This window comes from Homo sapiens, chromosome 11 (genome assembly GCF_000001405.40).
Source record: "Homo sapiens chromosome 11, GRCh38.p14 Primary Assembly".
NCBI classification, from domain to species: domain Eukaryota; kingdom Metazoa; phylum Chordata; class Mammalia; order Primates; family Hominidae; genus Homo; species Homo sapiens.
Genome location: NC_000011.10, coordinates 17626088 through 17651371, shown reverse-complemented (window position 1 = coordinate 17651371; position 25284 = coordinate 17626088). Strand labels below are relative to the sequence as shown.

The window sequence follows — 25284 nt, the reverse complement described above, 5'->3', positions numbered from 1 at the left end:
CCAGACCCATCTTCCTGGGCACACAGCTGGACTACGTTCCCCAGCCTTTCTTGCACTGAGATGTGGCCAGTTCAGGCCAGTGGAATCCGAGTGGAAGGGAGTGAGCCACTTTCAGTCCTGGGCCCTGCAAGCTTCCCGCACATGCTCTCCCTGCACCTCGGCTGGCTGATGCCTGAGATCACAGAGACTCTGGGAGGCCCGTGCTGAAGGTGGTAGAACCTCAAGACAGAGGAGCCAGGATCCCTAAATCATTCTGGACACAAAGCTCTAGCTACCTACTTATTTTGAGTGTTTTTTTTAAATAGGAGGAAGGAATAAGCTTCTATCATGTTTGAGCCTTGCTGTGTGTGAAAAAAATAAATGAGGAATTTGGTCCCCTCTCCTCTACCTCCCCATGTGGGACAACCCAGAAAAGCAGGGAAGAGGGGTCTGGAACTCAGAAAAGAGGGTTGGAAGGGGAACAGCTCTGGTGAAGGGAGAGGAACAGGATGTTACCCATGAAGCTGAAGTTAGATATGTAGCGTTTGACTTCCAATTTGAAGCTGTTCCTGAACCTGTCGTCTGCCTTCCCCAAACCACCATGACAAGTGTGCAAGACTCCAAGGCCTTGTGTGGTCAGAGGCTTGGGAAAATGTAAACAAAAGCGCCACACGTGGGTGAGGCCAGGGGGATCTGGGCCTGGGGAGGGGGCCTGTGCAGACAGTGCTTACCACAGTGACAAGGAAAGGGTTAAGGGGGTCTGTGAGCAGGATTGGCTCTCCTCACAGTGAGGGTAGTAAAATCAGCATGTCGCCTCCAATTTGCTCCGGCCTGACCTTGAACGTGAATCATTCCATCACAATGTCCTTATTGATTTCCACAGGAAGAGGATTAAGCCCAGAAAATCAGGGCGGGAACTTGAGCCTGCACCACGGAGAATGGGATGGTTCTGCAGCTCAAAACTCCTCGTGTTTGCAAATACGTCACAGGGGGCTGCAAGCTGGGCAGCCACCCTGCTCGGCCACCAATCTCTCAGTGGCTCTGCTGGTCCTGGCTTTCTGTTTCCTCAGCTGTGTGTGGCCACTGGAGTTGCCTCAAGCTTTAAGTAATGCACAGAGTGTGGGAGGAAACAGGAATGGGGGAGATGCCACAGATGTCCCTAGGGCCTTCAGTCTATTCTAGTCTCTTCTGATGATCTCCTGGGATCTGAAAAGGCTATTCTAGGACCAAAGTTGCCACTGAACTAGTTGGTGGCTCAACAGCCAGGAAGGACCTTCCTCAATCTTGAAAACTCTTCAAGGGAATGAGACGTGTGTGTGTGTGTGTGTGTGTGTTGTGTTGTGTTGTATGTGTGTGTGTATTACCCACACAGGTGCATAAAGGAGGGATCATTCTGTGTGAAACAACCCACAATTTCCTGTCATCATTTAACATATCCTGGAGAGCTCAGCATGTCAGTACCCAAAAGGGCTACATAATATTCACGAGTGTGGCTGTACCAGGTTGCTTAATCCTTCCCTACTGACAGGCATTTGCAGTTGTTACTAATTTTTAACACTCAGGACAATGCCGCAATAAACATCCTGGCGCATGCCTCTGCAGGAATTCTTTCTTTTGATGCTATCTGTTTCCTATTGCTCCTGTAACAAATTGCCACACATTTAGTGGCTTAAAACACACACATTTATTCTCTTACAGTTGTAGAGGTCAGAAGTATGAAATCAGCTTCACTAAGCTAAAATCAAGGGGCCAGCCAGCCTGTGTTCCTTCTGGGGGCTCTAGGAGAGAATCCAGTTCCTTGATTTTCCAGCTTCCAGAGGCTGCCTGGATTTCTTGACCAGTGGCCCCTTACACTAACTTCAAAGTACATCACTCCAACCTCGCTTCTGTCATCCCGTCTCCTCTCTCTGACTCTGACCTGGCTGCCTCTCTTATATAAGGACGCTTGTGATTACACCGGGCCCACCTGGATGACCCAGGATAATCCTCTTATCTCAAGATCCTTAATCACGTCTGCAGAGTCCCTTTTACCATGTAATGTAATATAAATATTCGCAAGATCCAGAAATTAGGACTTGTACATCTTTGGAGGACCACTATTCAGCCTTCCATAGCTACCTAGAAATAGGATGACTTAGTTAAAGGAGATGTGTATTTTACATTTAAATCACCATCTACAAATTGTATCTATTTGATATGAACACTCGCATTAACACTGCTGGCACTGGCTTTTTGGAGGGCAATGGACAACACTAATTAAGGTTCAAAGTCTTCACTGTTTCCTGCCTTCCCTACATTGCAAGACAGGGTTGGAGATTTTCCTCTCATTAATCTTTCACTAAATTGTCTTACCCTGAAAGAAAAAAAAGTCAGTATCTTCAGGAGGGATCTAGGAAAATAGAACTGGGAATTTTGACCAAAAATTTAGAGTGAGAAGTTGGCTTCCAGTAGGAGTAGGCGGGGGGGTTGTCTGAGCGGGAGTGGAGGTGAGGTGGCCGGGGGGAACATCCAGGCATGCTGGGACTCCCACAGTAGGGTGTGATCACCAGGAGCTATGGCCATCTGAGAGGACACAGTGGGAGTACAGCAGGAGGGCTGGAGAACTGCTGCCAACTGGAGCCAAGGAGGGCCAGGCTACTGAAACTGTGTCACCAACAATGGGTCAGATGTGGGGAACAGGTGTCTGAAAGCCTGGAGCCACCCTCCCGAATTGAGACTGCAGAAAGACATTTAGGCCAAGGCTGGCTGACTTAACCTGGTGCCCTCTGCCTCTGTCTATGCAACAGCTGATGAGGAGTGGCCTGTTCAAAAGCTGCTTTCCCGTAACTGGACACAAACAGATGGGAAGGGTGATGAGGTGAGGAATGAACAGCCAGGGATACTATATAGCCAGCAATGGCTATAAAAACTTCCTTATGTCTTAGTCAAAACATCTTGCCATATAATAGAACCAGGATTTTGAACCTAGTTCACTTTAACAGCCATGTTCTGTTTAAAGTCATGTTCTGCTGAAATCAGAGTTCAAAATTCTGAAAACTATTGATTTAGGGAGTGTGTATAGCTAAGGAGATAACTGACTACAAGCCATGGATCATCATCCCTGATAGAGAAGTTTGGAAGCCTTGTCCCACCCCATCTCTGGCTGTAATAATGAGAAATTAAGAAGTGTGATGTATGCATTTAAGACTATAAATGTTTCTCTAAGTACTGCATTAGCTGCATCTCACAGGTTAATGTGTCATAATTTCAAAATCACCCAGATCAAAATGTTGTCCAATTTCCTTTCTGATTTCTTATTTGAGCCATTGATTATTTAGAAATGTGCTGCTTACAAAGCCATAAAGCTTCATTAGGAAAAGACTCAGGGTCCATGTTAGCAGACAGATGCACCATAAGAAGAGCTTACTTATGAAATAAAAGCCAAGCCTTCCAAGTGTTCGTTCAAAAAAAGATGTTCTACCCTCTCTAGGCAGGGTGAAGCTCTTGCACTGTAAGCACTGACTCCTCTAGGAGTTTGCCCTATTACTGAGGGGTACTTTCCTAGCCCCCCTCCTTCTCCTTCCCACATGGGACAACCCAGGAAAGCACCCTCCCATTTGCTCCTTAGGTGTACCAACAGTCCTTCGCAGGTGAAGTGTCACTGAGAGCCTGTCCCTGGGTGCTCCTTAATCCTACCACAGCTGACATGGCTGCAAAAACATACTGAGCTCATTGGGAGAACAACAAGGAAAGAAATACAGAAATGTTAAGAGGCCAATATGAAACCTACTCTCTGGGTCTGCCCCACCCACATCTCCTGTAAGAAGCGTCTGTCTCTGGGCCCACAGAACCAGGATCACTCCTCAGTCCCTCTCCTGGGTGCCAGCTCCCCAGCTCCCAATGTCCTCTTCCTTCTCCTCATCCCCTTCCTCTAGAAGCCAGTCTCCAGTCCATTCAATTCCAACCAGCAGACACCCACCAATGGTTCTGCTGTGAGTGGGGCATAGTGCTGGGACGGATGGGGCAGAAGCAGTGCTGATGTTCAGGGCCACAAAATAGAGTCTTCTCTTCACAGTGGACACTCCTTCAAGTTCGAAGTAAACCTGGCTCCCTCAGAGATGCTCAGAGGCCTGAAGTCATCCTGTGGTTTATTGATGAATAAACAGAACACAAACATGGGCACAAAGAGGCTTGGAAACAGCAGGGTCCATCTTGGCACAGCCTCCTCACCTCAAGGGGCATCCAGCCACATCTTCAGACACACAGGGCAGTGCTGGGGCCTGCACAACCTTATGTTCATGCCCTTCGGTTCCACGTGGCACAAAGTGGCACAGGGGGTGGGAGACTTGCAGAGTGGGGTGTGGAAGGGGACGCTGGCCCTGGCTTTAGGGGACGCTCTGGTTCAGTGACAAGGATCTCACAAGTGCTCAGGGAGGCTGGGGCTGTGTTTTCCACTGACACCAACAGACACTCTCTTGCTAAACAGTCCCATGGAGCACAGAGACTGGCACTGGCTGAGCCACACAACCCATAATCAGGCTCCTCTGAGCCCGACTCTGTCATGGCCTTGGAGAAAAGGCACACTGCAAAGCCTGGAGCTGCATTTGCAGGCTGAAGGTACCCCCTCAGCAACCTAGGGCCTTGAAGGCATGGGCTGTCAACCAGCATCCTAGATAAGTAGTGCTGGGCCCTCACTGAGGGTTTCACTCCCCCAGCACCGCCTCACAAGGCCGGCCTGCCTGCTGGGAAGGTTGCCTTGGGGTAAGGGTACAGGCTTAGGTCTTCCAAATCCTTTCCTGAATTACCATATCAATACCAGGACACCAGGCACCTTTCTTTGGACTACAGGAGATGCGAAGGTCACTGAGCTCACTCTGATTTCACAGATCTTGGTGAGACAACCTGGGCCCTAGAATCCACCATCTTTGTCTTTGGGAACTCCTTCTGGGCAGCCATCTGCAGGCCTGAGTGTTGCAGGTATAGCCCTCTTTCCTTTTACTGTGTCTGGTTTCTTGTGTAGTCAAAAAGGCCAAGAGAATGGGCCACTGCATCCTGCCCCTGTGCTTGGTCTTGGGTCCAGCTGTGGTTCCCATGTAAGCACCATGCACCTTCCCATCTTCCCACAGCTCTCACCCCCTCCACCAAGAGCTGTGGCCAGGGTCACAGAGGTTCAGAGGCTGCTGCCCCTGGACCTAAAGCCCATTTTCCATCTCAAACCAGGGACAGAGGTGAGCTCCCTGAGCCCTCAACTGTGGCACTTTCCCATGTGCGGAAAATGGGGAGCCCAGAAAGGGAGCCAGGATGGGCAGGGGTGACCCTTTCTGGTTACTCCTGTGACCTCTTCCCACCATTCCATGCTCAACACGTGCCAGATTTCTACCACCTTTAATACCCCCATTCACATTGGGCCAGCTGGAAACAGAAAGTGGGGCTGGCAGAGGTGGTCCAGCTAGCCCGGGCCCCCAGGCCTCAGGACCACTGGCAGGCACAGTCGGTGGGCTCCTGCACTGTATAGGGCACCCAGGTGGCATTGGTGGCACAGAAGAGCTGCACAGAGCGCCGCTGCAGGCCCACCTCACGGCAGCACTTGCAGAATCGGGCATAGGTGTTGATGTTGTAGTTGTAGATGCTGGCGGATGGGCACCTCCCATCGCAGGACACTAGGTTCACCTGGAACGGGCAGGCCAGTGAGGCAGTCTGTGGTGCTCACACCCCCAAACCCCCTCCATCCCATTTTTTGCTGCCCCACTGCCTTGTGGGCACCACGCACAGGGGTGCTGCTCCTGCATTCATTCTTGCGGATGGTCATGCGGATGGTCACCTTCTTGCAGGAGCGCCCATCCTCCTTACCTGGGGGGACAGGGGGATGAGGCAGCTGTGGCCAAGACCAGGCTTCTTCGGGGCAGCAGGATGGGCCAGCCCAGGGCAGTTAGTGTCATGCTGGAGGGTCTCTCTTCCAGCATTAGCACCCATGCATTAGTGCCCCTCCCCATCCAGGGAAAGCCTTTTAACCCAATGCCCTGGAAGGAGGCGGAGTCAGGAAGGCAGAAACAGAGCAGTGTGAGCAAGTGAGGCAGGAAGGCCAGCAGGGCCCCCTTGAGGACTCTGTGCTAGGGCAGAGAAGCATCTGGGGACAGAGTGAGGCTGCCTCCCCACCCCAGCCCTAATGCCTATTTCTAAGCTGTGTTGGCCACTTTACCCTTACCCCTCTCTGAGCTTCAGTTTTCCCATCCTGAGAGGGCTTCTAGCATTAAGATTATGCAATTTCCTAAATGAATAGAAACTCCAATCTCTAGTGGGACGCTTCATTCTAATGGGATGCTTTGTTTGGTTTCCATAGCTATCAAACTGGACCAGGGATTCACCCATCTCACAGAGCTGTTACAGGGATGGAAACTAACCAGTGTGGGTTTCCTCTGCCTGGACCATGCCTCTCACAGACAACCAGTCTTGTGGCTCATTCACGCCCTCACCTCCTTTAGCAATTGGCTGCAATATCTCCTCTCCCAGGCATTACCTGATTCCCCTTCTTAAAGTTGCAACTCACTGCCTCTACTCAGTCCTCCCTCCCTGACCCCTCCCTTGCTTATATTTGTCGAGGGGACAATCACTGTCTTGTCAGAGACACATCGGTAATTACGATGTGAATCATAAGCTTTATGGCCTTCTTTTGCACAGGCCCCTTCCAGAATTTGTTGTAAGTTCTTTGTGCATTTTAAATAAATATTTCCTTTCACACTTTAATGTGAATTTGTACATTTTGTATTCTTCTTCTTGTTGAAGCCCCCCACATTGCATAAGTCAGGCCCCACAAAACTCAATGCTTCCATCCTGGTATATATTTTTATACTTGTTATTCTGTCTCTCCCACTAAATATCAGCTCCACAAGGCTCTACAGTGCCTAGAACAGTGTCTGGCACATAGTTGGCGCTCCACAAATATTTGCCAGGTACGTGCACTCACTCTGTAACCCCAGGAATCCCTTTAGAAATGGAATGGAATCTTTTCTTCTGGTCTCTGAGCCTCACCACAGAGGTTTCCTACTGCACCAGCTAGATGGCTTCTGGCCATAGCTAAGTCCACTTTGTCTTCCCTCTCTGCTCCAGGAGGCAGGAGAACTAAGGGCTGTCCTGACATGGCCCTCTGGGCCCTGGACTAAGACTGGCTGAGTGACCAGCAAGAGCAAAGCAGTGGCAGTCCGAGGCATTGGTGGGTGCCAGGTGAGCGGGCCCTGCTGAAGCTTTCCCATGCAAGCCCAGGGGATACAGCTCACTACCCAGCATGCACTGCAGGCCCAATAGCCTGTGCCAGACGTGGGGAGCAGGGGCCCTCCCCCTCCCTTGCCCCCAGAGATCAGGCCATCTAGCAGAAGGGACATTGCTGGACATAGCAATGCGGCTGCCTGCCTCCAGTGCAGTGGGCTTCCGAGAGGAGTACCTGGGCGACAGTGGACACTAACCCGTGGAGGAGAGGCGGGACTAACGGGGACTGTCAGGGACCCTGGAGGCCTGAATCCCACCCAGGAGGCTCCTCCAAGACCAGGGCGTCTGACTACGGGAGAATTTATGTGGGAGCATCTGGGCTGGGGGCCTTGGCAGGGGCAGGAGGAGGCGAAGTAACTGGTGAGCTACTGACCTCCTGAATGCTATGCCCCAATGTCCTCTGGCTGTGACAAGAAGCAGAGGTTTTGTATGGGAACAAGGACATAAACATGGCCTCCAGCCATCTGCATATTTGCGTCAGTGCCGTGAGCCCTGTGGTGTGGGTGTTATCCCTTCATCTACTCAGCCCAGAAGAGCTATCATTTTAGGTGCCAGGCCAGGAACCTGGTCCTCTGTCCCCTGACATGACACCCTGTGCCCCCATCAGAGCCCCCCACCCCTGGGCCCCCACCATGCTCACTCACAGGTCCTGCAGCATCCTTCCAAGGAAGGTACCACGGAACCCCCAACCTAGAGAGAGGAAGTCGGGGGAGGTAGGTAGGTGTGGAGACCCCTGTCCAGGCCGGGAGCCAAGATCCCAGAAACAGGCAGAGTACAGGAGTCTTGACTCTTCTCTCCCCGTGATGCCCCAGGGCAGGAGCATAGGCCCCTTGCCAGGCCATAGGAGAGCCACGGGGGCTAAGCTGCCACTAAGGCTGCACGTAGCCCCCTTGCGGCAGGAGCCTGGGTCAAGATGGTACAGGGCCTCCCATCTTTCCTGGGGCAGTTCCCCTCATGTCTTCCATTGCCTACCCCACTGCCAGTGCTTCCCAGCACAGAGGATAAGGGAGGGGAGGGGCGCAGGGGTCACCCACTTTGGTCAGTGGCCTGGGCTCTACCTCAGCCCTGGACAAATCATCCTCTTCCTCTAGGCTTAATTTTCCCATCTCTAAAATGGGGGCAAGTATCCGTTAAAACCCTCCTCCTCTATAATGAAATGGGTAAAACAATGGATGGGACAGTTCTTTGTACATAAGTGTGTGTGTTGGGGGGCAGGTCTCAGTATGTGTGTGTGATTTTGTGAGCACATACATGAGCATCTGTGTGTACATGTGTGATTTTGCATGTGTGGGTGTGTGTATGAGTGTCATTGAGTGTCTGTGTATATTTGTTTTCTAGGGAAGAGTCGGAAATCTTCAAATGTCCACTATTAATCTCAGGGACTTTAATAATTCAACAATAACCCCAAGCCTTCCAGGAAATCCTTTTCTCTGAGGTGCGCCCATACTGACAGTTGTCCATGCTAGTGCTGGACACCTGCCAGCCATCACAGGACTGAACTGCATCTGCGTGGCATGTGTGTGCAAGAGTGTGCTTATGTGAGTGCCTTGAGGTGTGATGACGCGTGGTGTGTGCATTGGCATGCTGATGTGAATGTCCCTGGAGTGTGTGGTGTGTGAGTGACTGGTGACCTGTGTTGGTGTCTGGCTGAATGTGCCTAGAACATGTAACAGTGTGTGTTTGTGCACATCTGCATGTGGTCATGTGATGTGTGAAGAGGCAGGGTGTGATGTGGTCAGGGCAAAAAGAAATGCAGAGAGACATATGGATTTGGGGTGGCAGTGCAGGCACAGGCTCCAGGGAGCCCTTCTTCCTGCACTCCTGCACACAGGACCTCCACCCCACCACCAGTGAGACAGCTGATGCCCCTGGCCTACAGCCTCAGTGGAGAAGGAGGCACTGACCTTGGCACACTCAGTCTCATTGAGCGGTGGGCAGCTTATGGGAGAGCGGACCAGCACGGCACCCAGGGGCGTGCTGCTGCAGTGGTGGCGGGCGCAGTCTGCGATCCAGGATGCCCCGGGCTGGAGGGCACAGAAGTAGGTAATGGGAGCTGTGGCCAGATGGACAGCCTGCGCAAACCCATAGGGTCTGGGAGCCTGTTTGTACCCAGCCCTGGCCTGCAAGCCAGAGAGGGCCCTAGTCCTGGTGTCCCCTTCTGGGACACCCTCCTAAGTGGGCAGCGAGGGGGCTGCTTACCAAGAACAGGGAGGTGGTGCCATTGGGGAAGGTGAAGAGACAGGACACGTTCCTGCAGGAGCCGCAGCAGGCAGCGAGGTCCCGCGGGTGCTCGTACTCCTGGTTCTACAGGCCAGGGCGGGGTGGGCCTCAGCCAGATGCCCACCTCCACCCTGGCTCTCCCACTGCCTGGTTATCTGTGAGGGATCCCAGAGCCTGGAAGGACCCTCTGTAAGTGCTCGAGAAGAGGCGCTCCCAGCCTCCTTCTGTCACAGGCAGCTAATCATCCCTGTATCTACCCTGAGCCTCCCTTACAGCAAAGAGCATCTCCACCCTTTCCAAGCCATTTCTGCTAAGTAAGGATGCCAGTTTTTATTCCAGACAGACCTCCATTTGAGTCTTAGTTCCTGTAGGACTTTTGACAAATGACAGAGTCTCCCTAAGCCTCAGTTTTCTCCTCTGAAAAATGGGAATAATTCTAACCTTCTTTATCCAAGTAATATTTATTTAGCCCTTACTAGAAGCCAGTCACCATCCTAAGTACTAGGCATGAAGAAGTGCTCACCAAATAGTAGCAACACAAGCACGCAAACCAAAGGGACAGGGAATGTGCCAGGCATTCCATAGGCACCTAATAAATGTGTGCTGTGTCTGTCAACACCCACTCTTTCCAGGCACTAAATCCGTCCCTTCTGTTCCCCTTCTGGCCTCTCCCAACCTAGTCCCTTTCTTGGCACTTTCTACAGAGGTTTCTGAGGGCCCCTCTGACTTGTCCTGGGGGTTTAGGGCAGCTTCAAGGGCCCCTCTGGCTCCTGGAGCACCCAAGGTCTGCCAGGCAAGCCCTCCCAACCCCACCCACCCCGCCCTGGGCTGCACCCTACCGCCTCACAGTGGATGTCACAGAGCACGGAGGTGGTGTTGATCTGGTAGAAGTTGGTGAGAGGGTCGAGCACGGTGGTGCAGCGGGAGGTGTGGCACACGCCATCTGCTGAGAGCTCCACCACTGTCTGGCCGGGCTGCATCACACCCAGCTCGCGGCTCAGACACACCGGGGCCTTCACTGGATGGGCATGCAGGGCGGCAACAGTCATCCAGAGCCCAGGCACCCATGCCCCTCCTGCATGGCTCTGCCCCGAGGCTTCCCCCACTCACCACACTCGTACTTGGCGCAGCCACACACATTCTCCACGCTGTGCATGAACTCCTCATCCAGCTGGGATTTCTCCCACTGGGTGGGGCAGAGGCAGTCAGCACCCTGGGTTGGGGGCCAGCCTGGCCCTCAGGAGCAGTCTGCCACCTGGGCCCCTCTCTACGTCAGTCCCTCCCTGTGGTGGGCAGGAGGGGGGCTGGCAGGCCTGGGGCCCCTCAGCAGCCTGGAAGCTCAGTCCCAGTGTGGCTACCAGGCCTCCCCAATGAGGAGCACTGTCCAGTGTCCTCTCCTTTCACAGCGAGGGACAGAGCCCCGGGTGGCTCACACTACTTCTCACCTTCCTTCAGCAATGTTAAGGAGGGAGGAAATGGGGGACAGAGTGAGAGGAAATGTGTGCTGGGGTGGGGAGGGTTACATATAATTCAGAAAAGGACTGTAAACACGACTTCACATTTCTTAAAGTATTTTCACTTCCCTCAGTGGCCATGCAGCCTGGTGGCTAAGAGCATGATCTCTGGAGACAGATTTCCTTGGTGTCAGCCCTGGCTCCATGATATACTAGCTTCATGACCTTAACCTTAGCTTCCTTGTTTGCAGGATTGAGAAAACAACAGAAACAACCTCACAGGGTTGTTGTGAGAATAAATAATACACATGAAAGCCCCAGGAAAGTTCCTGGCATTTAGTAAGCTCTCAGTAAACATTAGCTACCGTCATGATTGTCATCAACATCATCATCATCATTGCCATTATCATCTTCACCACCACCATCATCCTCACCTTCCCCACTACCACCATTGTCATTGCATTATCACCACCATCACCATCGTCACTGCATTATCACCATCACCCTCACTGTCCCCACCACCACCATCATTGCATTATCACCATCACCACCACCACCATCCTCACCATCACCACCACCATCATCCTCACCATCACCACCACCATCACCATTGCATTATCACCATCACCACCACCATCATCCTCACCATCCCCACCACCACCATCATTGCATTATTACCATAATCACTGCACTATCACCATCGTCACCACCACCATCCTCCTCACTGTCCCCACCATCATCACTACCATCAGCATCATCATTATCATCTTCATGATAATTTTCATCTTCATTGTACTTAATCCTTACCACAACTCTAAAGCATGATTATGTCCACTTTACAAAGGAGGGCACCATACCCAGAAAGCCAGTGGCAGAGCTTGGGAAAAGAATGCTGACTTGCAACCCCGGGTTCCTTGCACTAGATTAAAGGAGCAGATTCTCTAGAGGAGGGGATAGAGAGGAAAGGAAAGGGGAGCAGACCAGGGAGTGTTGGGGGAGGAGCGTCTCCATACCAGATGGCACCGGGGCACCGGGATTGTGTCACAGTCACATTCTGAAAAACACAAGGGGCCAGGCCCCACTTCATCAGGGATGTCCAGGTAGGAATCCCCTGGGTACCCTGGACCTCTCACTGCTGGCACAACCCGTCTTCTGAAGACCCAGCTCCAGGCCAGGCCTGGGAGAGGAGAGGAAGAGGCCCAAATCTCAGCCTCCTTCCATCCCTGGGGGCAGGAGAAGGCCTGCAGCTCTGCTGATTAGGTAGGTGGGCAGTGATGGGTTCTGAACACCAAGCTCTCCACTGGGTATGGAGCAAGGATAAATAGGCAGATGGGCCAATCACAGGTTTCCTTTTGTCACCTGGATTAATCCCTTCACCTGGTCCAGAGCCTATTCTTTTTATTTATTTTATTTTATTTTTCTTTGAGATGGAGTCTCACTCTGTCGCCCAGGCTGGAGTGCAGTGGCGCTATCTTGACTCACTGCAACGTCCACCCTCTTAAAGGCACCTATCACCGTGCCCGGCTGATTTTCTTGTATTTTCAGTAGACACAGGGTTTCACCGTCTTGGCCAGGCTGGTCTTGAACTCCTGACCTCATGATCCACCCGCCTTGGCCTCTCAAAGTGCTGGGATTACAGGTGTGAGCCACCGTGCCCGGCCGCAGTAAGGACTTTTTAAGACGGAAACCCTCTTTGGAATGGGAAACTTGCTTTTTCCTTCTTTTATCCTAGAGAGAAAAGGCTGTAGGAATGCTCAGCACTTGGAGTGCGGATGCAGAAGGAAGGTGATTCTGGTGGCTTCCTCTAGAGACCCTGCAGGGGACAGATCTGAGAGGAGTGGACGGTGGTAGGCCGGGCTCCCTCAATCCCTCCTCAGCAGGGCCACTGGATCTCCCAGCGGGGAGGCTGTCCTGACCACGGACTCACCACAGGATTTGTAGGGGCAGCAGCGGTCGGGGCTCCACACCTCCACCAGGGCAGTGCCCAGGCCACACTGCACTTGGGGACAGCGGAAGTTCTCACACACTGTGGGGAAGGAGAGGCAGTTGACACGTCAGTCACAGGCACCTGGGGATGTGAATCCTCAGAAGGGCAACACTGGCTAAAGAGAGGCTACCCCCAGCTCCTCCTTAGTGACCCCCACTGTCCTCAGAGCCCCAGGGAAGAGTCTGGGCACCCGAAGTCTCCCCAGGGAGCTACTTCAGGTCCTGGTGCTGTGTCTGTGAGGCACTGGTGACATGACAGGGTCAGAACCTCAAGCTCATTAAATTGGGCCTCCTCAATCTGCAGTCACCCTGCAAGAGGTGGTCCAGGGAGAGCCAGCCATTAGGGTAAGGTCTGCTGATGGGGAACATCCCGCTCTGTCTAACACAACCTTTCCCACCCTGTGGAAACTTCATCCACTTGGGGCCCACCTGAGCATGCCCTGCTTCAGCTGATGCTACCCTGCAGGGCCCGCACTTCCTTTCTTCCTAGTCTTTAGGCTGACTTTTCTCAGTTCAGGATTCCTCAGCCATTCTCATTTGCTGGGAGAACAAGGCAAGGGGTGAGGGAACTCCCTGGGTGCAACGTTTTGGTGGATAGGGGAGGGGCGAGGGTCAGCACTAAAGGTGAGGATCTGAAAACTGTAAGAGTTACTTGATTTACTAATAAAGTTATTGGCACAAGCAAGGATTATCAAATGGTGTTCCAAAAAATTATGAGGGAGGGCATTTTTATGGTGTCAAAGTAATAGGTTATTTTCTGGTTGGAAGAGGAAAAATGTAAGATGGAGAGATCTTAGGATTACGGTCATCACCCTAATCTGGGCCAACGTTAACATCAATTCTTGTGACTCAGCCAGATAGTGTGTGGCACCCGAAGTGATGTGCTATGAAGCTCATGCACGCACTGTCTAGCCCCAAATTTTTAACTTGAACCCATCAATCCTTAGATGGAAATTTCAGTTTTAGGAAGCACAGAGGCCCAGGGAACAAGGTAAGCAGCTCCAAAAGAAAGCAACTGGTGAAGTCCAGAAGCGGGAACTCTCTGCAGGGTCATGGCATGGACTCTACAGTGGGAGGTCATACAGGAAAAGGGACCTGTGCTAGGATGAGAGATGTGAGGCATGTCATTATAATGCATGGTCCAGGACTGGATCCTGGATTGGACAAACAGGAAGAAACAGACTGGGCATGAGATGAGTTGAAAATGTATTAACATGGAAAGGTAGTGATTGTTCAATGAAAACAGCCAGTTTAAAAAAAAAGAGTATGTCCAGGATGAGCTGATTTTGGTAAACCACACACATCTATATAAAGCCATAGAGAGAATCTGGAAGGATATGTATCCACTAAAGCATTGGCAGTGGAATTATCTAGCAGGTAGGAAGGTGGTATTTTCATTTTCTTGCATTTACTTGGAATTCGTACTTTCTACAATGCATATACAGTGCTTTTGTAATAGCAAAAGTATGACGAAGACTGGGAGAAAGTGATAATATCAACAGCCTCTGTTTTGGAGCACCTACTGCATACCAAGGACCATTTGGTCCTTCACAAAAATTATCTCTAATTTCCACAACAGCCCCTCAAGGCAGATACTAGCATCGCTATTTTACAAATGAGCAACCTTGGCTCAGAGAGTAAGGAACTTGCCCTGGGCTGCACAGCTGGTAGACAGCCCAACTGAGGCTCAGAAACCAACTGACTATGCCCATACTCCATCCATAGGACTAGGCTGCCCCCCGAGAAACATGGAAAGAAACGTGAATACAGGAGGAGGGCTGAGGGGGAGGGGTAATGATAGAAAGAGAAAGACAGAAGAGAAGGAGAAAGGATAGTGAATCTGTCCTCACATCAGTCTTGCAAATACTGTGGCAAGTGGGCCAACAAGCTCCTGGTCAGGTGCGGCCAGGTCATCTGGGCAACTCTCATGGGATGGGAGCCTACATTGTTTCGGAGGTGGCTCTTCACATTGAACCAATCAGAGAAGCCCTTGGGTGTCCTGGTGGAAGCCCCTCTCCTACTCTGTTCTGTGTAAGAAAAAACCTCATGCTTCTCCTATTATCAGTGTGCAAAGCAATTTTTGTAAATTGAATAATATTTAAATAGAACCATTTTGTTCATTTTCATCCATTAGGTTTGCTTACAATCCGTAATGCTGGCTGCACTATGCTTAACAGTTACTATTGAGGTACTATGTACATAGTGCATTCTATATCAAGGTACTATGAACACAGTACATGATATGCACATACTATACATGTCTACATGTATATACAGTATCATACATACAGGTACCAGGCCCTATAAAAATATTGGAAAAAGCATACTTTTATTTATAATTACAAAATAAAAGAGCTTCAGAGGTTTTGCAACACAGGGCCTTCTGTGATACAGCCTCCAGGAGCGGGCACTATGGCGACACAGTGGCGAAAGGGACCCTGAAGGGGAGCCTTGGGTCAGTCAGGGAATGAGGACTTCTTATCAGTGCTGTGGGGGATGGAGGGACCCAAGTATTTGTCCTTCAACCCTAGCCTCTGTCTGGCCCTTGGGGGCCTCCATGGAGGGGACAGGCCTGGACCTCCCACCCTCCAGCCTGACAGCCTGACCCAGCTTCTTCAGGTGGGCCTGCACTCGTCCTGGATTCAGCTGCTCGGCCCCTCCAGAGCTCACCACCTGGGGGCGCTCTGTTGCTCCCTGTCAACCCCCATTGGTCCGGGGTGGGAACTCTGTGAAGGGCCCCTTCCTGCCGCAGCCCGCCATGTGCCCAGCCAGGACTCACCACACTGGTACAGAGGGCAGCAGAGTTCCGTGGTATTCCTGTGCACAGTGAGCGCCTCCCCTTCTTGACATTCGGGGATGGAGTCTGGACAGTCACCACAGGCTGAGGGGGAAGAGGGTCAATGCTGTCACAGCAGTCCTCTCATAGGGGCCTGGCACACAGCACGTTGCTGGGGGTGGGGCCTCCTCAACAACCCAGGTGTGGCAGGAGCTAACTAATGGCAGCATCGCATGGTCTCACGTGATCCGTTCTGGAATCAGAATCTGGAAGTTCTCCCTCATGTCCACCCAAAGGCTTACACAGAACAAGCACCAGTTTCCTCGTGCTTAGTAATCTAGGGGGAACACGGGGTCGGTGTCCTCTTCCTCCCACACTGTTTCCTGGACAGTGAGCTTGTCCTTCTCCCTTTGCCCACCCCATCTGAAGACCCCCAGCCTTTCCTCCCAGCTGCCCAAGGACACAGGGGTGAGGCCGGCGGACTGTGATCAGGCTGTGTGCGCTGGCGTCTGGTGGCGGCGACCCACCGCAGAAGTAGGAGGTGCAGCAGGAGTCCCCCAGGCGGCCCGTGATCAGGATCTGGTCCTGTCGGCAGCTGGGGACCAGCTCTGCCTCACAGAGATCTGGGTCACACTCTGGGGAAAAGGCTGAATTTAGGTGCTGGGAGAGGAACCTGCCTGGCCACCCCTGGGCCCCTGCCCCCAGAGCTGTCCTCCCCCCACTGCCCTCAGTCCGTCCCCCACCCTCCCCACCCCGGGCCTCTCACCACAGCTGTAGCTGGGGCAGCAGGAGTCCTCCTGGAAGTGGGTGAGGAGGCGGTGGCCTGGGCGGCATGTGGGGGCGAGACCCTCACACAGAGTCTGGTTACACACTGGCCCCGGGGACCACAGGGCCTGTCACCTCGGGGCCGGATGTCCCCACTGCTCTCCAGTGGAGAACACTGGACAACTGCCCAACCCCTGGACGCCTGGCCCCACTCCTCCCCCCAGCCCCCAGGACCCATACTCCTAGATGAGGTCATTGAGGGTCACACGAGGGTTCAGGGCTGGGACAGAAGATCAGCAAGAGCTAACATCCATTGACACGCACCCCATCTCACAGCAACCCCAAAGATGGGCCCGATCGATCTTCAGCTCATGTCCCAGGAGAATGAACCAAGGCACAGAGGATGTGAAATAATTTGCCCGAGGCCACAAGGCTACAGGTGGGGGAGGAAGAGTGGCCAGGCTGCCTGGCTCCACAGCACTCCCTGCACTGACTCCTGAGCCTCTGCCCCTGCCCCCAGGGAGGGTTCTCCCCTCCTCCAAGCTCACCCCCTACAAGACACTTTGCTTTTCCTAGGCCTTGTCCTATCCATCAGGGTTGGTGTGCAGGGCTGGAACCTTTTAACTGTTTTACAGTTGACGTCCAAGGAAGTGAAGGTGGACACTCACCACAGACAGTCCCCAGGCAGCAGGGGTCCTTGGTGGGTAGGAGCAAGGCCACCTCCCCGAATCGCAGGCAGCTCTCAGGGCGGGGACTGGGGCAGCCCAGATCCACCGGGACAATGGTGTCTGGGGCTTGGCACTGGTGCTGGCAGCAGCCGCTGAGGGAGCTGTTCCAGGTCTCCCCCAGGGCCCTCGGCACCCCCATGCTGTCAGTGCAGGCTGCAGAGGGGAATGGCAGGGTGCGAGGGACTGAGGAAGGTGAGCCCAGACCTTCCCAGGCTAGACTCTCCCTGGTTTACTGGCCACCCCTAAGCAGACCTGAAAGGATGCAGATGGGACTCAGCTGTGGACAGCAGGAGGCGAGGCTGAGGCTGGCTTTGGAGGCCCCCCACTCAGGGAGGGGAGGAACCTACCGCACTTGGCCTCCGGGATGCAGAGTGCAGAGTGGCGCCGGTGTAAGATGGTGCCCTCGGAGCAGACGCAGCCCTCGCCCAGCACCTGGCAGTGCTCTGGGTCCAGAGGCCCTAGTATCCCATCCTGGCATGTCTTGGGTGGCTCACAGGCTGTCACACATGCCTGGTATGTGGAGTCGCTGGAGCACAGGAAGGCTGCAGGGGCACAGTGGGCACCAGGCCTACCTCAGACCCCAGGCAGGGCTCCCCACTGAGGGCCGAAAGAACAGGAGGGGATGAGGAGAGGGCTCAGAGTGTCATCAGCACCTCAGCAGAGAGTGCATAAGTTAAAGGGCTTGGTGACATCACCTCCTTCCTTAGATCAGGACTCAGCAAAGTACAGCCCACAGCCCAAACCCAGCCCACTGTCTGTTTTCACAAATAAAGTTTTATTGGAACACAGCCATGCCTGTTCATTTATATTCTGTCTCAGGCTGTTTTTGTACCAAAAAAGGTAGAGTTGAGGACTTATGACTGAGACCATATGGCACACAAGTCATCAAATACTTACTTTCTGGCTCTTTACCGAAAAGGTTTGCCAACCCCTTGCTCTAGATCAGTGTTTTCAAACTTTCTTGATTGTAAAAAGTAGATTTTACATTGTGGCCTAATACAAGCATGTAGAACAGTGGTCCTCAAACTCGACTACAAAAGAATCCTTTGGGAGTTTTTGAGGTATCATTGTGGGGAACCCACCCCAGGCCAATTGAATCTCTGATTGTGGGGCCCATGCATTTTCAAGTTGTCTGAGTGATTTCAAAGGGTATTTAGGATTGAAAATCGCTTCTATATAAAATAAAAAATCTCTTTTACAAAATCATACCTAAACTTTCTATGAGCAATACACACTGGTATTTTCTATTCTATTGTATTTTTTAAAATGCTGGTGCTGACCCCCTAAATTGATTTCATACCCGCTGAGTTGGGATCCACAGTTTGAAGAACACGACCCAAGAGGACTTTTGTCTTTTCCTCTTTTACTTGTCATATTGTGGGTGTGGACTTCCTGTGAGCCAATCCCAGCCTTTCTGGACAGGTTCACATTTATAAATCAAGCTACCCTAGCCCAGGCCACCCCTGTCGACCCTACCAGTCAAACCTAATTGGGGGAGGAGGAGGCAGATCTCATTTCCTTCCTGCAGGAAGGAAGGGAAACTCTGGAAGAAGAGAAACGTGAGCAAAAAGGAAGCAGAGGGAATTAAGGTGTGCTGGACGGTGTCCGTGGGGCAGGTCTATGTGAGCACTCGGAACACATTCCCCCACATCCTCAAAACCACCCTGGGCGGGGGCGATGGTTACAGTCTCCACTTACAGAGAAGAGACGCAAAGAAAGCAAATACTAAAATAACAATACAATTACTATGTGTTAATATGTTCATATGAATCATAATAAATGTGTTCATTAGTATAAAATGTACTTTTATATAATATAAAAATTAAATATAAATTAAACATATGAAATATTTATAAATTTACTAATGTACATAAATCCATGAATGATTAAAGCTGGGAAAGCATACATGAACTTGGGGCCGGGAGCCTTTTCCCACTTTAACAGGGGATGGGAACAATAGTCACAATGGAGGGTCCCCCTGCCCCGCAAACTCACGGCAGTAGTCAGAGCGCCGCCACTCGATGCACACATGAAATTTGTGGCACATGGCCACGTACACAGTCAGGGCCACGCAGGGCTGCTGCACGTACTTGGTGTCCCGGATCCACAGCTCACAGAATGACTCCGGAGGCACCTGGACATATGCATCAGGCAGTGCTGGTTACTCGGATGGCACATATCCCAGTGCCCAGCTCCTCCCCTCCCTGCCCAAAAGGAACAATGAGCCTCTGCAGGTAGGTGCTGCCATCCCCAGCCAGCCCAGGAGGTGTCCCCAGTGCTGGACCCAGTTGGCACATACAAAGCGGTGGCAGGCACTGAAGGTGCGGTTGGACACCATGCGAAGGCAGGGCGAGCAGTCAGTTGTGGCGCAGCTGTCTGGGCGGAAGCGGGTCTGGCCCACTGAGGTCAGGGAGCTGGGCACCTGCCAGCTGTCCAGAAAGGGAGCAGGGTCCTCAGCCCCACCCACCACTGAGCCATCCTTCAGGGTAAGGTCATTGGCTGCATCTCCATCACAGATACCTGAAAGGGGCCAAACAATCCCAACAGCCACGATCATCACTACCACTCCCATGTCGTCAGCTCTCACTTTTTGTATTCCTCACAGTTCTTTGAGGTCAATAATACCATTATCCCCATTTTATAGGTGAGGGAAATTAGGTGAAGGGAAGCTAGGAAACCTGCTACAAAAGAAAATGTCTTTGTACTTAGGAAATACACATGTATTTAGGGGTAAAAGGATACAATGTCTTGAAGTTATTTTCTAATGGTTCCGAAAAATGCATATATATATATATGTATTGCATGTGCATATAAAAATGTATACCCCCCCCCACACACACACAGAGAGAGAGAGAGAGAGAGAGAAGGAGAGAAGCAAATGGGGCAAATCTGGGTAAAAGGTGTACACTACTTTATACTGTCTTTGCAAGTTCTAAATTTTTATAAGCTTTGCTATATTACACCAAAATAAAAAGCTACCCCCCAAAAGTCTGCTTTACCAGTGATTGCTAGCTGATTATAACAACTGTTCCTTCTTTTTCCTGGGCAGTCAGTGTATTTTTCCCAGATGCCCTTGCAGCTGGGTGAGATCATCCGATTGAGTCCCAGCCAATGGCATATGAGTGAAGGTGACGAGTACCACCTCCAGGCCTAGTTCATAAAAACTTCCCACCTGTCTCCTCTCCTGTGAATTTGGAAACTCATGTTGACATGGCAGAACCAGAAGATGGAAGGACTCTGGGTCTCTGAATCATTGCTATCCATTTGGGAACTTATGTATGCAGGAAATAAGCTTCTGTTGTGTTAAGGCACTGAGATGGGGGCAAGGGTGAAGTTTATCTGTCCTAGCTTTTAATGTGACCTAAACTTCTGGTTTCATCTCCCACATACCATCTATATGCTCCAGACACACACTTTCCTGCCCACAACTTTGCTCAAGCTGCTTCCTCTGCCTGAAATACTTTCTCAGATGTCCTTCCTTCAAGGACGCCTCAGATGCACTATCCATGACATTCCAAAGTCTGTGTAACAGTCATTGGCTTGCAGGTCAGCCTTTCACAAAAGATTGTAGCTCTCTGAGTGCAAAGACTCATTTTCTTTTAGATTCTCAATTATCTCAGCACTCCCCTAAGTTTGTCTAGCAGGGTGCCCAGCTGTCAAATGTTCATTCAAATAAAATGGAGATATAAATGATCTGACTTCTGTTCTAACACCTCTAACCATGATTCTGTGAATATAAAGCATGATTAAAGGCAAACTCTTATTAATATATTATTAATGGTTCCCATGGTCACACTTTGGGTCTTGGCTTTAAGTCAGTGAGGGGTGTCCCAAAGGTATCCTAGGGAGGGGTTGGCTCACCAGGCTACTGCTGACCACAGTGCTCTTTGCTGGCAATGAACAGAGGAGAAGGAAGAAATGATGAGAAAAAGATGGTGGTAGTGATGGTGATGGTGATGGTGTTGGTGGTGGTGGGGATGGTGGCATGTGTGTAAGAAGTGTTTAAGAATGGAAGCACCATAAAACAGGGATTTTGTCTGTTTTGTTCACTGTTTTGTCCCCAGCGACTGGTACATGGCAATATGTGTTGCACAAAGGAAAAAATGAGCATGGAGCTGAACTGCATGTGTTAGTGCATGTGTAGAGGGAATTTGGATGCAGAGGGGCATGAATGGGAATGTGTGAATGATCACCGGGGTGCAGGTGGAGGATGGAGGGTGTGTGTGTGTATGTGTGTGTGTGTGTGTAAGTGTTTTTATCTCACCCATCGTCACAATCATGGTAGTCTGTCACGGAGTGCCCCATGAGTGTCCATGTGCTTATGCCCCGGCAATGAGCAGCGGCCCACATCCAGGCTTGTCCCATATCTCTTTTCCTTATGAGAATACATTCAATCTTTTAGGGCATGCTCTGCAATTGTGCTATGGTCTGAAGAGCATTAGTTCTGTGTATTGTGGCAGCTCTGCTGTGTGCCCTTGGGTAAGCCCCTTAATCTCTCTGAGCCCCCTTTCTTCTTTAGTTCAGTGGGGATACTAATGGCCATCTCTCAGTGCTGTTGTGTGGATGACCAGGAATAAGTGAGATAGACTGTGGAAGTACTTTGTGAAATGCCCAGGCTCATGCAGATGGAAAGGATTATCCGACATTAGAAGGCTGTCAGGGAAGCTGACAGACAATCCCGGCTGAAGTGACAACTGGCTGAGTCCAGAGCCCTCTACTATCTCCCTACTGGCAGCTTTGGCCCCAGGACACAAGACGTTAGGCCTCCCTGCCCTGACAGCTCTGCTGCTCCAACCTCTGGCCTGGTATTCTGTCCCAGCCTTTCCTGCTCCAGGAGGAATTATGTGTGGGGGCAGAGGTGGACCTGGGAAGCATCCCCTCCCCGCAAGCTGGGTTCCACCTCACCGCACAGGCCATGGCCCTGGGCCTTGCTGGTTTTGCTGGCCTCCACGATCATGAGTCCTGAGCTGTGGAGCCACTGGATCTGGATGTCTGAGGGAGTCAGGATCATGTACATGTGGCCTGTGTCCTCAATTCTGAATCCATACCTGCTCACCGGTGGCCACACAGGCTGCAAGTCCACAGTCACCTTGGGAGGGAATTCAGTGTGAGCACAGCTTGTCCATCCATTCATTCATCCATCCATCCATCCATCTGTCCGTCCATCCATTCATCCATCCATCCATCCACCCATCATCTGACAAACATTTATTAGGCATCTGCTATGTGCCAGGCTCTGTTTCAGGCACATGCAGCCAAATCACCGTCGAAAGTGGCATGTGAGGTTTCTGAAAATATCTTTATTGGAAAAATACAATGAAACAAGAAATGCAACAACAGGAGGCAAGCTGCATCTTAATGCCCAAATAAACACAAATCCTGAGCCCTTCCAATCACTCTCTTCTTTCCTGATTCTGTTCAGATCACTTCTTCTGGGAGTCTTTCCTGATTCTGTTCAGATCATTTCTTCTGGGAGAGTCTCCCTAAATTCCCAGCCTTGGGGCTACATACCCCTGCTCTGGGCTTTCCTCATCTCTGTGCTGGCCATTAAGTATCTGTTTCCACATCAAGATATCCAGTGAACTGAGTTTCTTAAGGGCAGATACTATGCCTGATTTACCTTTGAATCCCCAACACCTGCCTTTGAGCCTAACATAAATAGGGGCTCAATCAATATTTGTTAAATATGCAACACACTCTAATTCTCACAAACACTTTAAATTCAAGGCTACAACCTCTTCTACGTATTAACAAGGTTAAATTTGGATGTACCATGGGTTATTACAATAGTTTTACACTGAAAAAAATGGAATATAAAAAGATTAAGATTTTAAAGTATTTATAATGAATTAACCTCCTCCCTTCAAGATTAGACTGTTTTATATGCTCCTGAATGTCAAGTGGGTCAATAAAAAAATTATGAAAAAAACTGAAACTTTTCTTGAAACAAATGATAATGGAAACACAACATACCAAAACCTACAGGATACAGCAAAAGCAGCACTAAGGGGGAAATTTATAGCTATCAGTGCCTATATCAAAAAAGAAGAAAAACTTCAAATATGTAACCTAACAATGTATCTTAAAGAACTAAAAAAGCAAGAGCAAATCGAATCCAAAATTAGTAGAAGAAAAGAAATAATAAAGATCAGAACAGAAATAAATTTGAAATAAAAAAATACAAAAGATCAATGAAACTAAAAGTTTGTTTGAAAAGATAAACAAAATTGACAAACCTTTAGCCTAACTAAGAAAAAAGAAAGAAGACTCTAATAAAATCAGAGATGAAAAAAGAGGCATCACAACTGATACTGCAGAAATTCAAAGGATCATTAGCAGCTACTATGAGAAGCTATATGCCAGTAGAAGAGAAAATCTAGAGGAAATGGATAAATTCCTAGACACATACAACCTCAAGATTGAACCACAAAGAAATAAAAAATCTGAAAACACTAATAACAAGTAATGAGAAGAAGCTGTAATAAAAAGTCTCCCAGTAAGGAAAAGCCTGGGATCCGATGGCTTCACTGCTGACTTCTACCAAACATTTGAAGAAGAGTTAATACCAATCCTACTCACACTATTAGAGAAGGAGGGAATACTTCCAAACTCATTCTATGAGGCCAGTGTTACTCTGATACAAAAACCAGACCAGGACATATCAAAAAAAGACTGCAAGTTGTTATTTCTGAAAAATATTGATGCAAAAATCCTCAAAAAAATACTAGCAAGATGAATTCAACAATACATCAAAAAGATCATTAATTGTGACCAAGTGGGATTCAACATACGCAAATCAAAGTGATACATCATATCAACAGAATAAAGGACAAAAAAACCATATGATCATTTCAAATGATGCTGAAAATGCATTCAATAAAATTCAACATCCCTTCACAATAAAAATCCTAAAAAAAAATGAGTATAAAAGGAACATACCTCAAAGTAATAGAAGCCATATATGACAGAACCACAGCTAGTATCATATTGAATGGGGGAAAATGAAAAGCCTTTCCTCTAAGATATGGAACATGACAAGGATGCCCACTTTCACCACTGTTATCCAACATAGTATTAGAAGTCCTACCTAGAGCAATCAGACAAGAGAAAGAAATGAAGGGCATTGAAATTGGAATGGAAGAAGTTAAATTATCCTGTTTGCAGACGATATAATCTTATATTTGGAAAAAAACTAAAGATTCCACCAAAAAACTACTAGAACTGATTTTAAAATTCAGTAAAGTTGCAGATTACAAAATCAACATAGAAAAATCAGTAGCATTTCTATATGCCAACAGTGAACAATCTGAAAAATAAATTTAAAAAGTAATCCCATTTACAATAGCCACAAGTAAAATTAAATTATCTAAGAATTAACTTAACCAAAGAAGTGAAAGAGCTTTATGATGAAAATGATAAAACACTGCTGAAAGAAATTGAACAAGACACAAATGGAAAGATAGCCCATGCTCATGGATTAGAAGAATCAATGTTGTTAAAATGTACATATTACCCAAAGAAACCTACAGATTCAATGTAATCCCTATCAAAATATTAATGACATTCTTCACAGAAATAGAAAAAACAACCCTAAAATATACATGGAATTATAAAAGACCCAGAATAGCCAAAGCTATTCTGAGCAAAAAGGACAAAACTAGAAGAATTACATTACCTGACTTCAAATTATACTACAGAGTTATAGTAACCAAAGCAGCATGGTACTGGCGTAAAAATAGGCATATAGGCTGGGTGCAGTGGCTCATGCCTGTAATCCCAGCACTTTAGGAGGCCAAGGTGGGCAGATCACCTGAGGTCAGGAGTTTGAGACCAGCCTGGCCAACATGGTGAAACCCTGTCTCTTCTGAAAACACAAAAATTAGCCAGGTGTGATGGTGTACACCTGTAACCCCAGCTACTTGGCAAGCTGAGGCAGGAGAATCACTTGAACCTGGGAGACAGAGGTAGCAGTGAGCCAAGATCGTGCCACTGCACTCCAGCCTGGGCGACAGAGTGAGACTCTGTCTGAAAAACAAAAACAAACAAACAAAGAAACAGACATATAGACTAATGGAACAGAATAGAGAACCCAGAAACAAATTCATACACCTTCAGTGAACTCATTTTCGACAAA

At 49.7% G+C, this 25284-nt stretch overlaps 1 protein-coding gene across 2 annotated transcripts in view, besides 3 other annotated features; it reads right to left on the bottom strand.

The window, feature by feature from the left end:
- Positions 410 to 910: an enhancer, noted in NCBI's record as "H3K4me1 hESC enhancer chr11:17672009-17672509 (GRCh37/hg19 assembly coordinates)". NCBI's record gives its function as "activates a minimal SCP1, AML or CMV promoter by ChIP-STARR-seq in primed H9 embryonic stem cells {active_cell/tissue: H9 hESC(primed)}" and the evidence as "EXISTENCE:reporter gene assay evidence [ECO:0000049][PMID:30033119]".
- Positions 5122 to 5622: an enhancer, noted in NCBI's record as "H3K4me1 hESC enhancer chr11:17667297-17667797 (GRCh37/hg19 assembly coordinates)". NCBI's record gives its function as "activates a minimal SCP1, AML or CMV promoter by ChIP-STARR-seq in naive H9 embryonic stem cells {active_cell/tissue: H9 hESC(naive)}" and the evidence as "EXISTENCE:reporter gene assay evidence [ECO:0000049][PMID:30033119]".
- The window catches only part of OTOG (otogelin), a 98786-nt gene continuing 78829 nt past the window's right edge, over positions 5328 to 25284 (bottom strand). For both annotated transcript variants that reach the window (NM_001277269.2, NM_001292063.2), the window contains 17 exons: positions 22056 to 22239; positions 19450 to 19670; positions 19146 to 19284; positions 17498 to 17692; positions 17091 to 17303; positions 16424 to 16528; positions 16185 to 16292; positions 15661 to 15762; positions 12823 to 12921; positions 11909 to 11949; positions 10552 to 10627; positions 10281 to 10459; positions 9421 to 9525; positions 9126 to 9245; positions 7866 to 7911; positions 5729 to 5808; positions 5328 to 5628 (listed from right to left, as the gene is read on the bottom strand). In NM_001277269.2, coding sequence (NP_001264198.1) covers positions 5428 to 5628; positions 5729 to 5808; positions 7866 to 7911; positions 9126 to 9245; positions 9421 to 9525; positions 10281 to 10459; positions 10552 to 10627; positions 11909 to 11949; positions 12823 to 12921; positions 15661 to 15762; positions 16185 to 16292; positions 16424 to 16528; positions 17091 to 17303; positions 17498 to 17692; positions 19146 to 19284; positions 19450 to 19670; positions 22056 to 22239 — 2214 coding nt within the window. In that variant the 3' untranslated portion in view covers positions 5328 to 5427. The remainder of the gene's footprint in view (positions 5629 to 5728; positions 5809 to 7865; positions 7912 to 9125; positions 9246 to 9420; positions 9526 to 10280; positions 10460 to 10551; positions 10628 to 11908; positions 11950 to 12822; positions 12922 to 15660; positions 15763 to 16184; positions 16293 to 16423; positions 16529 to 17090; positions 17304 to 17497; positions 17693 to 19145; positions 19285 to 19449; positions 19671 to 22055; positions 22240 to 25284) is intronic.
- Positions 5623 to 6123: an enhancer, noted in NCBI's record as "H3K4me1 hESC enhancer chr11:17666796-17667296 (GRCh37/hg19 assembly coordinates)". NCBI's record gives its function as "activates a minimal SCP1, AML or CMV promoter by ChIP-STARR-seq in naive H9 embryonic stem cells {active_cell/tissue: H9 hESC(naive)}" and the evidence as "EXISTENCE:reporter gene assay evidence [ECO:0000049][PMID:30033119]".